The sequence below is a fragment of the Homo sapiens genome, chromosome 6 (genome assembly GCF_000001405.40).
Source record: "Homo sapiens chromosome 6, GRCh38.p14 Primary Assembly".
Taxonomy (NCBI): domain Eukaryota; kingdom Metazoa; phylum Chordata; class Mammalia; order Primates; family Hominidae; genus Homo; species Homo sapiens.
In genome coordinates, this window is record NC_000006.12 from 67,235,719 (window position 1) to 67,253,568 (window position 17,850).

Sequence of the window (17,850 nt, forward strand, 5' to 3'; positions counted from 1 at the left end):
GCCTCAAGTATTCTTGTTCATTTTTGCTCTTTTGCAGACTCCTCGCTCTCCTGGGAAAATGAACCCATATTAGCTTGATAGAGGATAAGAAACCATTTGAAGAGTTGAGGCATGATATCTGTTGGTCAGCCAAGCCCTAGGAGAAGGACCTCTAAGCCAGCCTGCATTTAATTAACCTCAAATGCATGAAGTAGCTAAGCCCAATAAAAGGACCCAGTTGAACCCAGTTTAAATTCCCATGATAATACAAATTATTACCAAAATAAATATATTTTGTTTTAAGCTACTGAGTTTGGAGATCTTATTATGTAGCAGTAAGTTCTTGATACAGAAAAGTTATATTTATTTCTTATTCTGTCTTTTAAAGTTTCGGTTTATAAAGATGGTACCTATGTTATTCAAAGTTTAGCTATTCATAACTGTTAAATATGCATTATGAATTGTGACTTTTAATATCATATTATCTTTTCTTTTCTTAAAGAACTTTTGAGGTACAACTCTGCCTTGTCTTAGATCAAGATCTCAATCTCTGCTGTTTTTCTCTTTTTAAAGCTGTCTAGGATACCTTTTCTAATTTGGTTATATTAGCCTTTTACTCACTATTTTTCTGTAACCAGCATAAAAACTGGTTTTACTTCTTGAGTCAATTTGAAGATCCTTTTTTATTTAATAGATGAGGTAAACTCATTTGATGCTTTTATATATCTGGTATGGCTGATCAAATGTTTTATTTTGTTATATTTATTTTGTGTTTTCTTATCTGTATAATCTCTTTTCTTTGTATTTTAACATATGTTTCGGTTTTGATAGTGCCTATTATTTTACTTTTAGTGATTATTTTGAAAATTGATAAAAATCATGGAAATCTTGTAAAAATATATTAAGATATATACATTATTTTTCATATTACTTGAATGAATTTTCAAATTATAAAGCCCTAAACTATGTCCACAAAAGTTACTAAAATTAAAAAGAGGTGAGCTAGGTTCCTGGATACAAAATAAATATAAATATATCACCTGAATTTTATGTATAAGACAAACAGATAAAAATAAAATTTTGTGAAAGCTCAAGTGAATAAATAAATAAATTATATTCTCAGATTGGAGAACTTAGTATTGTAAAAACAACAATTTCTGAAAAGTCATTTAATTTAATGCAATTCCATTTAAAATCCCAACCGATGTTGGGGGAACTTGAAAGCTGTTTTAAAATTTTGTAGTCTCCCCGAAAAAACTGGGAGACTCTCAATAAAGAACAAAGCAAGAAAAAAAAAATCAGGTAGGAAGATCCACCTTGCCAAATATCTAGACTTATTTTGATCTTATAGTAATTAATTCAGCATGTTATTGATTCCAGAATAGATATAGACCACCAACACAAAAATATAAACTTCAATAACATAGTATATAATATAGATAAATCCTTCATACATGACAGAGATGGCGTTGACAAGCGCTGGGGAAAGGATTATCTCTTCAATTGACAAAGGACAATTGCATATTTATGAGAAAGAGAATGCCTAATTGAACCCCTGACACACACCTTATTGAATAATCATATGTATTCAATGCTTAAATATGAAAAGTTAAAGTAAGGCTTTTAAAAGCAAGTCTTATATGAAATTTAACAGAATATCTTCACAACCTTGGGATTGTAAGGGATTTCTTAAACAAGAAAGCAACAACACTAGGGGGTAAAAGAAAAAAAGAAAAGGAAAAACTAGACCAATGCACTAATGTTCTCATTATAATTGTTATAGTCAGCAATTTTTTTGTGACCAACAGATAATATTTAAATATGTTCATAACAGTTTGAACGTACAATTTTATGTATATTGAATCTAATTCTTAAATTGTATTTGTATTTGGAAAATCTTTGTTTTCTATTACACATTTATACATATATATACATTTTCTATTTTTTATATACATATATATATACACACACATGCATTTACTCAAGTATCAGCAAACTAAAGACAGTAATTTTTTTAACGCTATACAATGAGAGAAGTGGTAAAATAGACATTAAAATTTTTAAAAAATATATTCAGTGAAAGACATTCTAAGATTAAAAACACAATGCAAGGTATGGGAGATATGCAGCATATTAATTGCCAAGAGAGTTTAGTGTTGAGAAATTCTTAATCATTGTAAATAATCAAATCAACTAGAAAAACTGGCAAAAACAATCTTCAGAAAAACAAACATAAATAAACACTTTATGAGGATTCCTCAATGTCTGATAACACGAGAATTGCTCAACTTTATGATCCTCAGGAAAATGAATGTTAAAATTATGATATCAGCAGATCATCAAATGTTTAAAAGTCTCACAATTTTAAATGTCAGCAAGGTTGCTGACCAGCAGGAGCACTGGACAAACAAGACTTCAATTCCCTTTAGAAATCTCATTGGTATTTATGGCTATAAATAGGAATGACATATGAAAATATTATGCTAAGTGTAAAAAGCCACACACAGAAATAAAAATATTGTACATGATCTCACATGTAGCATCTAAAATAAAAAGAAAAAGTTGAGTACATAGACACAGAGAGCAGAACAGTTGTTGAGAATGGGGAGATGTTGCCAAAGGGCACCAAGTTGCAATAAAGTATGATGACTATGTCTGGAGATCTAATGTAAAGCATGATAATTAGAGTTAATAATACTGTGTCATATACTGGAAATTTGCTGAAAAAGCAGACTTATTTGCTTTTACCACACACTCATACACATACACAAAAGTGTGAGATGATGTATATGTTACTTGGCTTCACTGTAGTAATCAATTCGCTGGGTATATTTACATAAAAAAGTCATGATTTACATCATATATACATGAAACAAGAAAGAAGGGGAGAAGAAAAGAAGGAAGGAAGGAAGAAAGGGAGGGAGGGAGGGAAGAAGAAATAAAGGAAGGGAAGGGAAGGGAGGGGAAGGGGAGGGGAGGGGAACGAAGGGAAGGGAACGGGAAGGGAGGGGAAGAAGGGAGGGAGGAAGGGGGTGAAGGGAAAGGAAAGGAAAATGAGCAAGGTAGCTGCTCATGGGTGGCATTCACTAAAGCTAAACATATTCCATGAGGAGCAATTCCAAACTGACGGAAATGCTTAGAGGCCACTCAAAATAATAGGAAGTGGATCCCAACTTGTCATGGTAGCACAGTAAAAATATGTAAAGGCCCAACACTAGCAGGTCGGATAAAGAAATGGCGGTGCGGCCGTGGTGGGAAAGAGTAACCATCAGTGAAAACCAACCAGCCACCACTGTGGGCACCCTCACTCATGCAGCGAGCAGGTGGACAGTGCCCCTGTCCCCTCTGAGTCCCCTGGGATCTGCAGGACTGTTCAAGGACAGATTCCCTTTATAAATTCAGTAAGGTCTTGGAATCAGGGTCTTTCTGGTTCACAAATCATCTCTTTCTTTGGGCATTAGAGGAGTCCTGTGGAGTCAAAGCATAATGCAGAATCTGGCCAACAATGGGAGGTACAGGGGTCCTAAGGCCAGGCTAGGGTTGGGTCAGCCGTAGAGCCCTACTGGGCACCAGGCACAGGGCCCTCAGGTTTGGCTATGGCTTGGAACAGTGGGTCCTGCTGCTTTAAAGATTCCCAAGTGGCTGGGCCAAAGGAATGACAAAAGAATTGCAAAAATTTGCCGCTCTCTCCTAACACGGAACCCACAGGTGCGGGGCTCCCCCAGTATGTGCCAGGCACCCTCGCCTCCCTCACCTCACTCCACTATCACTGGAGCTGATGCTGTAGCTGCTGCCTAGAGTATCTGGCCTGGCTTTTCTCATGCCACACCGGTATTTGGTGCTCCTTCAGGTGGAGACTTTTGGCCCAACTGAGCCTGCCAGCCCAGTGCTTTCCCTTCTGGTAGGTTGGGTATTTGTTCTATTCAAAATAAAGCTCTTGAAGCTGTTTCTTTCTGTGGACCATGGGTTTCTGCTGCTGTTTTCTTGGGCACCCTGGGCATGATGGGAAGTCCATGAGATATCTTGCATCTTTGTCCCTGATTTGTTTCTTGTAGATGAGGCTGTCCTCACAAGACCCTGGCTTAAATGCTTCCCTCCAAGCTGTGCCCATCCAAGCCCACTCTGCTGGTGCTGATGCCAACCCTGTCTCACCATATGTTTTTTAAATAGAGATATATTGCATAAACACACTTAATAGTCACACAATAATCACACAAGCAATAGTCAAGTGGCAAATATTGAATATAGGTAAAGAATTTAAATAATATAACTAACAACATTTATAAAGACATATTTTATACATAATTTCATGATATTTGATTTAACATTCTACTTCTTGGACTATGGAACGCTTGCTGTGCGGTATCAGTTGGAAATATATAGCAAGAGTGAATGTGTTCATCAACAAGTCAATGTTTTAATTTCACATTTTATCAGTCAGCTTTTGAAATGTTCTAAAAGTTCCTTGCTAGCACATTGAGAACATGACTTTTTGAATTACATCATGTATTTTGATATAAGGTGATTTGGCAGTACTTTGGGTTCTTTAGACAGAAAGCTTTCTAAAATTGTAACATTATTAATTCTCTTAACTTGTCCCTCAATTTTACTTGGCTGACATAATGACAAGGAAAATGCCCGGAGGACACAGGAATAATAACATAAGGTATCTTTGAAAGAAATAAAATATATATTTCTGGTTTGCATCATTTTAGGAGAGCACACAAGATGTCTATCCCCTGTGTGTATGCCTATATAATCCTCTCACCTTTAGTATTAGCCGGACAAGTGATTATGATGGAATATCACTCCATGATTAGATTACATTATATGGCAAAGGTTAAGTGATTGTGGAGGTGTGATTAAGTTTCCTAATCAGTTGATTTTACATTAATCAAAAGGGAAATTATTCTTGGTGGGCTGTAATTAATAATCTGAGCTCCTTAAAATGTAGTCTAGAAGTCAGAAAGAAAAAGTCAGAAAAGTTCAAAGGAGGAGGGAAACTTCCTTTCTTGTCTTAAAGAATCAAAATGCCATGTTGTGGAGAGGATTACATGGCATAGAATAGCAGATTTCCTTGAGGAGCTTAGAGCCTTATTCACACAGCTACAAGAAACTAAATTCTGATAACAACCAAGTGAACTTAGAAGAGAAACCTGAATTTCAAGTTAGATCACAGACCTTCCAACACCTAGATATTAGTTCAGTGAAACTGATTACAACTGTCTAATCTATGCCTGGACCCTTAAAGCACTGAAACCGCAATATAATAAAATTATATTGGTTTAATAGTTACGGTTGTGATAATTTGATAAACAATAATATAAAATTAATACATTGACATTTAAAAGTTATCCAAGAGTGTTACAATATAACACCCATACAACAGGTCTGTGAGATTAGGTACAGGGCAATAAAATGACTGCAGAGAGATTAGGGCACAAAAATTTCTTATAAAAATATTAATTAATCACACTGATTAAAATGAGTTATTGGAAGAAAAAACATTTCAATAGTTTGTTCCATTTCTCAGTAGTATTTCTAAAGAATTTATCTGTCTATTTATCCATCTATCTAATATATTATCAATCATCTGAAGCTGTTTTACTAACAGTATCTGGCACTGAGAAGAAATGTTAATGAAAGACATAAGTTCTGCTTTATTGAACTGTAGTATGAATTCAAAACTACAAAGCAATGAGTTAATAGAGGTTTTTCAAAGCCATCTATTCCCCTGCATACTGTAGGGTTAATAAAGAGAGGTGAATAATGAAAGAATTGTAGATACAAAATAAATACTGTTTAGAATATAAAAACATTAATTTTGTTTTTCTCTGAAGAAAAGTGTATTTTCTTTCCTAATTTATTGTGGAATGCTTATTAATTTGGCAACTATTCTCTGACCTTTCTTTGCCAAAAAGAAGTAAACTGATTCTATTCTGAGAATCATACAATTCTACTGCACTTGTGTCAGCTGCAATGTAACCAATCTCAAATGAGGGAACGTGCACCAAAGAAGTATATCAGTAAGCCATGAAAATGCAAAAAAATTATTTATTATACAATTCAAAATGCTAACAAATAAAAATATGAACTGTGATATAAAGGGCTAATAAACCAGTGATCGGAATATAAAAGCATTCATTGTATTTCCATACACTTTCACTGATTCAGATATTATTGTGTTCTGTACAATTGATATCAACTGTTATGGAACAACTGAAATTTCAGCAATCCTCATTAATAATAAAAATAGTCAAAGCCATTCTCTTCCCTACCCCAAAATTTGTGAGAAATTTTCATGCAATCTGCCATTTTGGGTTTAGAATAACTGCTTTATAGAGTAGAATATTAAAACTGATGAAAGATGTATAAAAATAACATACACAAAGCTGAAAATAAGCTGAATTTGGAATCCATAAGTGAAGTTTCACCACTGTAAGTATATCTATACTTAACAATAATCTCCTTTTCTCTTTCCTTTACCGAGATTTGTGTTTATGTTTTGTTGATGTCTGATATTAAAATTAATTTAGTCTTTAAGTAAACAATCACATGTGGCTGTGATTTAAGCAGGTAGAGGAATTAACAAGTTCTGGGAATTAGGATGTGCATATACTGGAAGCCTAGGGAAATATGGTAAAATGGGGAATCATTTACCTCTTTCATATTGTGCTAAGGAATCCAGAAAGGAATATGATACTCTACCAAGGCACTCATATGATATATCCATATGTAAAAAAAAAATCCCACAGAAAAGTATGGGAAGAGTCCCTAAGTCCCTTATGAGCTATTTGAGCTAGATGGGGTTGATGAAAATGGAAAATCTGTTTTATACTCTGGAAGGGTGGAATATAAACTAAGAGAGAGAAAGAGTAAGAAGAAAATTGTTAACAGACTTTAAAAGTGTATAAATGAATTGCAATGTATAACCCTTATGTGAAACCTTATTAAATATAAACAGTAAACAACAAACACATTTGTGTATCATGAGAAAATATGAACCATTCTTGGATATTTTATTATATTAAGAAATTACCGTTACTTTTTGTGATAAAATGATAATATTGTGGATAAACTTAGGGAAAAAAGGAACCCTAACTTTCAGAAGCAAATGTTGAAATACTTAGAAGTGAAATTAGTAATGTCTGAAATTTGCTTTAAAATAAAGTGATTAAGGGGGGTATGGGCAGGGTTTTTAGATGATACAAGATTTTCCATTAGTGAATAATTTTTGAAGGTGTGTGATGGGTACATAAAGAGATCGTTTTATTATTTCCTCTACTTGTGTATTAATTTCCAGTTTTATCAAGAAAACTTTTAAATTAATTGATTAAATGTGTCTGGGAAGCCACCCAGGACAGGAATGCTAAACTGAATCTTCTCCCAAATGTTAGCAAATGTATATTAATATAGCTAAGTTATAGATCTGTTAGCTACTATTATACTGAAGTGAAAAATTGGAACTCTCCCATAAATGTATCAGGAGAAAATTTCTTAGAAAAATGCTTTATATCAAAGTTTTTTAATGTCCTGAGAAATCACAAGGATTTTACTTGTATAATATTCATATCTCTAAGGTGTTCATAGTGAAAGAGATTTGAATGTGCCTGTTGTACTACATATTTTTGAAGATGTGTGTGCTATATTGCCAAAATTATATTAATGTATCTGATAAAATGCTGATATCTAGAATATGTAAACAACATTCATATATAACTAAAAGACCATCCAATTAAAATTTGGCAAAAAATCTGAATAGGTATTTCTCTAACAAAGATATACTAATGGCACATAAGCAAATAAAAATATGTATATCATTAGTCATCAGATCAATTTAAATCAAAACCACAATGAGATACCTCTTCCCACCAACTAAAATAAAAAAGTCAATAATAACTAGTTTTTGCATTAATATATAGAAGTCAGGATCCTCATACACTGTTGAAGAGAATGTAAAATGCTGTAGCTACTTTGGTAAACATTCTAACTGTTCCTCAAGTTATTAGACATAGTGTTATCTTATGGCCCAACAAATCCATGCTTGACATTTGTTCTCACCCAGGGTTCTTCTCAGCTTTTTTTTTTTTCTTAATTTCTCTTATTCTTTTCTATGCTTCTGTTTAGGCCTTATCTTCATTAAATCCAAAAATCTCCTTCCAAAGTATTTTTCATCCCAACCCCCATATTTCTCCAGTGTGTCCTTAGTTTTGAACATCTTCAGGCTCTGTTGCAAATGGAGTCAGTTCTGATTTTCCATAGATTTTCTTTAAGACACATTTATTCATTTGCTGTTTGCTTTTAGAAACAATTCCAGAGATGTTAATGCTTGATTTTTAAAATACTTTTGATTAGTTTCGCTAGTGAGAGTGTCAGAAAATCTCATGCTGTCATGCCATTTGGTCTATCTTCAGTTCTATGTTTTGTTTTTTTATAACATTAATTCAGAGAGATGAAAACAGGTTTTCCACTTTCATCAACCAACCAAATCTAGCTCAAATTGATTAGACTATTTTATTTTATTTATTTTATTTTATTTTATTTTATTATTTTATTTTGTTTTGTTTTTATTTTATTTTATTTTATTTTATTTTATTTTATTTTATTTTATTTTAATTTTATTTTGAGATAGAGACTCACTCTGTCGCCCAGGCTGAAATGCATTGGCGTGGTCTCGGCTCACTGCAACCTCCACCTCTCGGGTTCAAGCGATTCTTCTGCCTCAACCTCCTGTGTAGCTGAGATTACAGGTGTGCGCCACCACTGCCCGGCTAATTTTTGTGTTTTTAGTGGAGACAGGGTTTCACCATGTTGGTCAGGCTGCTCTCCAACTCCTGAGCTTGTGATCTGCCCGTCTCAGCCTCCCAAAGTGCCAGGATTGCAGACGTGAGCCACCGCGCCTGGGTGATTAGACTTTTTAAACTATGAAATATAGGCAGAATAGTTATACCAGTTTTGTGTGTGTGTTTGTGCATGCATGCATGCTGTCATATCAACAAAGAGAATAAAATGGTCTTTTGGTGAGCCTTATTGATAGCCTACTCCGTATGTTAAGGAAATTAACATTTGAAAATGCAGGAGAGAAACTTTTCATCAAGAGAGATGAGCAAATAGCTCAGAAGGGACTTAGGGACTCTTCCTATACTTTTTCTGTAGGATGTTTTTGATATACAACTATATTATATGAGTGCCTTGGCAGGGTATCATATTTCTTTCTGGATTCCTTAGCATAATATCAAAGGGGTAAACGATTTCTCACTTTATCTTATTTCCCTAGGGAACTGGGTTCCCAATTCTGGAAATGCTGAATGAAGAAGAAAAATGAAAAGTAAAGACAGTTGAAGGACGATGTCAAGTACTAAACCACATATTAAGAGTATAAGCATATACTCTGTATACAATAGTCTTGAAATCTTCGTGTCACATAGTAGTATAACAACTCATTGGGCTTTTAGGTTGTTCCTTTGACTGTTTTAGAGTCATGGGGCAATACATTTGATTTGAGTAAGGCAAGAGAGTTGAATCAATAGGGTTAGCTAATGGAAAAGATGATGTTACTTCTCACATTTAGAGAAGTTAAATTGGTTTCCTCTTTGTTGAGACACTAAATTCTTGTAGGCATAAAAAAAAAAGAAAAAAAAATCTTTACAATCAGATTCCAAACTGTCTCTGTAGATTAGTTCCAGTTTATTTTTCTTCCTTTTCAACTATGGATGTTATAGGCCTGCCACAAAAATACTTAAATTTTTCAGTCTGTATGTTTCACTACAATCAATTACATTACAGCCTTAATTAGAAATATTGAATGTGCTAAGACCTATTCTTAAAACAGAAGTGACAATTCAGAGAAGAAACAAGAAAGGATTTAGTGTGAAACATTTTATTTAAATCTAGTTAAGTCAGTTGTAAGAAATACAATTATTTTCCAGATGAGATATACATATATATAGAAACTGGAGAAGTGATTATACCCTCAAAGTCCAATGATTATACAGTTTTTAACACATTAGATAAATGTTAAATTGATAAACAGATTTACAGATGGAAGGATAGACATAATAGAGAAATGGAACATTGATAATACGAAATAAAGTATTTTCATAATTCAAACTCTTCCATGTAGAATGACACATTTTGCAGTCAATAGTGAACTCCCCTCCTCTCTAATGTCTATGTATTTAAAAAACTCAATTTCCGTGTATTTATGTTCAATTTTGTTGAAAAATACAGTACGGTAAATCGTATATACCTGTGAATTATAAAATCTGCTTGCCAAGTAACTCATTGTAATTTGTATTTCCAGAGTACTCTGTTCACTTCCTTTATATATACCCATGGCCCAATAATTATAATAATAATATTGTAATGCAAATCGTAATCAAAATTGTATGAAATTTTACAGTAGTCCCTTCTTATCCCTGGTTTTCCTTTCTGTGGTTTCAGTAACCCATGGTAAACTATAGTCTGAAAATATTAAATGGAAAATCCAAAAATAAACAATGCAAAAGTTTTAAATGCATGTTGTTTTGAATAGCATGATGAAATCTTGTGCCCTCCTGTTCTGTCCCACTCAGGATATGAAATATTCCTTTGTCCAGCTATCCATGCTGCGAAAGCTACCTGCCCATTAATCACTTAGGAGCCTTCTTGGTTATCCGATCGACTGTTACTGTATTGCAGTGCTTGTGTTTAAGTAACCCTTATTTTACTTAATAACAGCCCCAAAGTGCAAAAATGCCTGATTTATGAATCAAAGTTTATTAAAGGTATGTATGTATAAGAGAAAAACACGGTATATAGAATTTGGCACTATCCGTAGTTTCAGGAATCCACACGGGAGACTTGGAACATATTTTCTCTGAGTAAGGGGTGGCTACTGTATTTAATCTATGTGAATTTTGGACTTAGTCTCATGTTATCCTAAGGTCTTTTTGTAAAACAAGAAAACAAATCAAAACCAAACCTTTGTTTATAGGAGTTTTCTCCCCTGAAATTATATGCAAATTTTTGAAGGGAAAACAATCTCGTCTATAATTTACTAGTATGAGGTAGTTTTCCTTGCCTTTTTCTGAAACTTTTTCATGTTCTTTATGTTCTATCAGGTTTGCTTTACCTGTAGTAACCACTAATTTTGTGAACCATTTTGTTTTCCAGAGAAGAGACACACAACACAAGTAAAGCATTGAAATGAGTTATTTATTGGTTCAGTGAACATATGTATACTGTTTGGAACTGAGGATGCAATCACAGAGTCAACAGAATATCACTGGATAAAACATAATTTAACTTATCCTTCCATGATAAAGTATGAATGTAAATACTCTCATTCTCATCTCTTTACTTGGTAGATATATAAAATATATTAAAGGCAGCATAGAAGACAATAAAAACATGCTTTGCTGCTAACAAGCAATAAAACAGTTTGGAAAACCTGTTTAAGGTCTGCAAGTTCTAACACTCACAAAATATTTGTAACTAAATGAGTTATATATCATTGAACTATGTTAACGAAAACCATAAGTGTTCTGTAGAATAATTTAGACAATTATACCCTTTGGCCTATGTGACTAAGCCATATTTTTAAAACTAGAAAGTCCAATAGACAATTTAAGGAAAATGTTTATAAAACAAAAATATGTGCATTTTGAAATACATAGAATTTATATTTAAATGTGATGTTTTCACATAAAATGTTTTAAAGATCAAAAACAAAATATAAATTTAGAAATCTTTTACATCCAGTAACACTGACATTTAAACTTTTTGAATTACATACAAATATATTATAATCCATTTTGAAATATGTGAACAACTTGTGGTGTCATGGAAAAAATATAGAAAAATGATACATCAATTGATGTGTAAGTATTTTAATTTGCTTTTATAGGACACTGAACTTAACTAACCTTGAGCTAAAATTATTAATGAAATTACTACTTAACATATATATCACAAAATAGTCAAAGTTTAGATCTGTCAGTAATTAACTTAAATAATAGACACTAGTATATGAGCTGATATAAAAGTAAATATGGAAATAAATATACCTACATTTAATTTCTTAATGAAAATTTACTGGGTAACAAACAATAGAAAAATTCAACTTTATAAGGATAGTTTTGATAAAAGAGTATTAAGTAAAATGCTCAACAAGAAGATAAATAAAATTTTCATTTGAGCATTTAAGAAGCATTCAGAAAGCTGAAATGATCATAACAGAAAATTTGTTCAACAATGCTGTACAAGTTTTATACACATATTCCTAATTTAAATGTTAGCTTTCTTTTGTTTATATATTGAAAACTACTCAGCTAATATTATTAAATATTTTACAGAAGCAAAACATCTATTTTTCTCCTGTTTTAATAAAATAAACTTATTTCAAATTTAATAGTAATTAATAAACATAATTAAAATAGGAAAATAGGGACCAGGCACAGTGGCTCACACCTAAAATCCCAGCACTTTGGGCAGCAGAGGAGCGTAAATTTCTATAGCCCAGGAGTTTGAGACCAGCCTGCACAAAATGGTGAAATCCTCTGTCTACAAAAACCACAAAATTAGCTGAGCTTGACGGCGCGTGCCTGTAGTTCCAGCTACTCAGGAAACTGAGGTGGGAGGATTCCTTGAGCCCAGGAAGTTGAGGCTGCAGTATGCTGTGATGGTGCCACTGCACTCCAGTCTGGGTGATAGAGCAAGACCCTTTCTCAAGAACAAAAATAAAAGAAAGGAAAAGAGAGGAAGAGAGAAAGAAGGAAAGGAAGGAAGGAAGGAAGGAAGGAAGGAAGGAAGGAAGGAAGGAAGGAAGGGACAGAAGGGAAAATACAAGCACATACCGATGCAAAAACCTGTCTATAATATTACCACACTGAGATCCTGTCAGAGTTTACGTGTATGCTTATTATTTGATATACTTCACACTATTGTATACATATTTTCAAATAGACTTTATTTTTATGTTAACTATGTGAGACATTCACCAATAGATACCCTAAAGATTTATCATATTTAGCAATTTTATTTTCTGAAAAGTGAATTTGAACTGGTTTAACTTAAGAATTTTGCTGATCTTTCCTGGGCTTACTAATGGAGCTCTAGTCATCTCATTCTTTGGGTAAAGGTGACTGGCTAAGGATCGCCTCATTCTTATGCCTGGAAATTGGTGCCAGGCCTTGTTAGGTACTGCTTGTTGCAGGTATGATGAAGATGACAGGGCCATGTTTCCAATCGCTTAGGCTAGGCTTCCTCACATGATAGCAAATAACAGTGTTCCAAAAAGCAGGAAGAGGGCAAAATTCAATGTTAGGCAGTTTTTGAACTTCTGCTTGTCTGATCTTTGCTTAATGCTCCATTAGTTAAGACAGCTCACTTGGTCAATGCAAGATTTAAGAGGAAGAGAAATAGACCCTCACCTCTTGACTGAAGACACAGCTAAGTCAAATTGCAAAGAAGTGTGCATTAAAAGAGAGGGGAAAAATTATGGCTGCTCTGTAGTTTTACAGAATTTGGTGTGTGTATTGAAAAAAATCTTATATCATTCTATCACTTGTATCTTTCCCTTTCTTAATTCTTCCTTTTGACTTCACTAATTTTAATTAAGCCCAGATTAGTTTTCTGGTTTTTTTTTTCTTTTAAGATTGGTGCTTTTAAGATTCAACACACAACAATCAAACAGCATTTCTAGATAACAACAGTGAACTATCTGAAAAAAACAGCAAGGAAATCAATTCCATTTAAAAAATTTACAAAAAAACTAGAAATACATTTAAGAAAATAGGTACAATAACTCTGCAATGAAAACTATACAATACTGATTACAGAAAATTGAAGAGGACATTAATAAGTGGACAGGTAGCTTGTGTTCATACATGGGAAGAACTAATATTGCTAAAATTCAACACTATCCAAAGCAATATAAAGATTAGATGCAATTCCTGTAAAAAAAGCAAAGATATTTTTCAGAGAAATGGAAACAAGCCTACAATTTGTATGGAGCCACAAAAAGCCCCAAGTAGTGGAATCAAACTTAAGCAAAAAGAACAAAGCTGGAGAAATCACATTACCTGACTTAAAATATACTACAAAACAATATTGAACAAAACAACATGGTACTGGCATGGAAACAGACACATAGATAAATTGAACACAATAGAGAACCCAGAAATAAATCTATACATGTACAGCCAACTAACTTTTGACAAGGGTTGCAATAATTCACATTGTGGAGAAAGACAGTCCCGTCGTTAAATGGTGATAGGAAAACTGAATATTCATATGCAGAAGAATGAAACAAGACACAATTCTTTCATCACTTACAAAAATCAACTTAAAGTGGAGTAAATACTTAAGTGTTCCACGTTGAAATTACTAGAAGAAAACGTACAAAATGCTTCATGACATTGATCTGGGCGTGGATTTTCTGAATAAGACCTGAAAACCACAGTCAACAAAAGCAAAAATAGACAAATGTCAAACTAAAATGCTTCTGCACAGCAAAAGAAATAACAAAGGGAAGAGACAACATTGCTACAGAATGGAAGAAAATATCCACAAACTATGCATCTGACTAGAAGCTAATATCCAAAATATATCAGGAACTCAAACAACTGAATAGCAAAAATAATAAATCAATTAAAATTAGTAAAATATTGTAATAGACATTTTCAAAAGAAGACATGCAAATAGCCAACAGGTATAGGCTTTGTTTTTATCTTTTGTTTCTTTTGCATGTTTTGCAAACTCTGATTTTATGTATTTAATCAGTTTCAGAGAGGTCTCAACAAGTATCTTTTCAAATGTTATTTATCCTCATAATCTTTTTGCTCTTTCTTATGCTTAAATTTGTATATAGTTTTTGTAGCATGACCTACATTTCTTTTATATCCTTTTCCATATTTCTTATCTTTTCTTTATGTATATTAATATAGATATGTTCTGATGCATACTCCCAATCAATAATCTTTTTTTCTGCTTAAATCTACTATTAACACACCTATTGAATTATTTCAATTATTATTATATTGGTCTAGAATATAGTTCTAGAATTTAAATAAAAATACAAAAATTTAAATTATCTGGTGAAATTATTTCTCATCTTGAACACTTTAATCATAGTTATTTTAATATTAGTTTCTGAATAAATTATGAATTTGTATCTATTGTTCTTTTATCTCTCGATTGTTAATCATCTGATCCTGCTTACTGGCATGCTTGGTGACATTTGAGAGAATGCTGGACATTAAGTAGGAAAAGATGATGCTTGGTGATGTTACTTATTCCAGGGTTGATTTATTTACCTTCTCTTAGGCTCTTTGAAAACAGGCAGACTACCTTCATTCAGTCCACGCTAGGTTTCAGGTTTTGTAGAACTCATCTGTTTCTAGTTTTCTCTTCCTACCATAGCCCTCACTAATAACCTAAGTATTTACCAGCTTTCCTCCATCTGTCATGTCCTGAAGTTCAACCCCTGTCTTGCTTAGGTCTGCAAAATGCTTAACATTTGCTTAATGATATAGCATCACAGCACCTAATTTTAATTTATTTTTCAAACTTTTTAATGCATATGCAGCTTAACATTCAGCAAGTGACTCAAGAAGAAAAACACATAGCAATTTTAGAAGAATGAACACTACCTTTTTCTATATCATATCTCCCTAATACTCAGATTCCTTGTGAGCCCCGAATTTCAACTTCCGTGACCTTGGAACAGTGTGACTACTGTACACCTAAAGCTGCTTCTTTCAATCTCTATCCCCCTACAGCAAACCAGCAAATTATTCATAGGACAAAAGTAGAGGCAAATGTGAGGCTTACCATATGCCAACCTCTCCTGAAAAGTATTCCGATACACTACTAGTGGAATTATAAATTACAACACATTCGAGAAATAAATTAGAAAATAAAAAATTGCTGGTAAAATATTTGAGTAAAATTTTTCTGATAAAAGACAAAGAAATAATATACCAGATGAAATCTATTTTTAGGATTATACTTTATGGGAAATTTTGCAAATATACACAAGACGATATGGGCTAGTAAAAGGGAAGACTTTGGCTAGGCACGGTGGCTCACACCTGTAATACCAGCACTTTGGGAGGCTGAGGCAGGCAGATCACCTGAGGTCAGGAGTTCAATACCAGCCTGGCCAACATGGTGAAACCCCATCTCTACTAAAAATACAAGAAATGAGCAAGGCGTCGTGGTGTGCACCTGTAATCCCAGCTACTCAGGAAGCTGAAGCAGGAGAATCGCTTGAACCCAGGAGGCAGAGGTTGCAGTGAGCTAAGATCTTGCCACTGCACTCTAGCCTGGGCAACAAAAGTGAAACTCCATCTCAAAGTAAGTAAGTAAATAAATGCAAATAAAAAAATGAAAATAAAAAAGGGAAGACTTCCCAAACTAATAAATAAGGAAATGAATAAATAATAGTAGTTATGTTAATACCATAGACTAATACAGGATGCACATTTCTAGAGGATCTCTGAGGGGAAGCATGATGATTTCTGAGGACATGCTCCAGGAAAACAAATATAACTGGTAAAAAATATTTTTTAAAATATATATTTGAAGGCATTTAAAAACACTAGAAACTTCCTAAGGGCAAACAGCAAATGGAACAAACATTTATTTAAGAAAACCTATAAATCATGATAAGAACAGTGAGAATCTGTGACATATGAAGAACAATGATTTTCTTTCCAGTCAGTTCATCAAGAAAGAAGTTATATTCCTAGGTGTTTTTTGTTTGTTTGTTTGTTTGTTTTTTGTTTTTGACAGAGTCTTGCTCTGTTGCCCAGGCTGGAATGCAGTGGCATGATCTTGGCTCACTGCAGCCTCTGCCTCCCAGTTTCCAGCGATTCTCCCGCCTCAGCCTCCTGGGTAGCTGGGATTACAGGCACATGCCATCGTGCCCTGATAATTTTTGTATTTTTAGTAGAGACAGGGTTTTGGCATGTTGGCCAGGCTGGTCTCGAACTATTGACCTCAGGAGATCCAGCCCACTCAGCCTCCCAAAGTGCTGCGATTACAGGCGTGAGCCACTTCTCCTGCCCATTCTTGGCATTTTTTTTATGTAAGTGTATGAGGTTCTTTCTTCCCTAGCTACCAGTCTAGGGCTATGGTATCTGCTAAGAAGGGCAGGCTGCCAGCATTTATCATCCTCCACAGATCTGTGCCACAGAAGCTCTGTTTTAATCAATAGCAGCTGTGAGGTCTGTGGCTTCCTTCCTCTGTCTTTCTTCCATTTATGAGGTAAAAACTCTACTCCAGATGCAGCAGGATGAAAATACTAGGCTCTAATTGTTCTTACCCTAATTTACTCATAGGATGGAGGTTTCTCATCAGGAGAGGCAAGCTGAAAAAAATAGAGGCTATACTCCCTGCCCTGTACCCTGCTTATAAATCATAGTGCCATCTGATAGAAGTGGGCCATTACTCTATCCCCAGCTACAAGACAGTGGTACAAATGTTTTACCCAGGGGGAAATGTAGATCTTAAGAAAGGAGAAATTTGTACCTCTCCCTGAGTGGATCGATTTTATTTGGAACAAAGCTCAGAGAGTAATGTCTAAGGGCACTGTTGAAAACATTGGGGATTTTCATGGTATGCACTTAAGAGGAGACAGGTATCTCCAAGAAAGGAAAAAGATAAAGTGCAGAACTAGAAGTTTAAAATAGACAATCAGAGAAATAGGCAGCTAACAAGAGCCCCCCTGGGGTCAGAAAAAAGCGCAAAGATGTGCCTCAAAGTCTACCTGCCATTAACTGTATGTTTGTGTAACCCCAAAATTTATATCCTGAAACCCTAATTCACAATGTGATGGAAATTGTACATATGGCGATTGGGAGTTTATTAGGTTCTGAAAGGGCAACT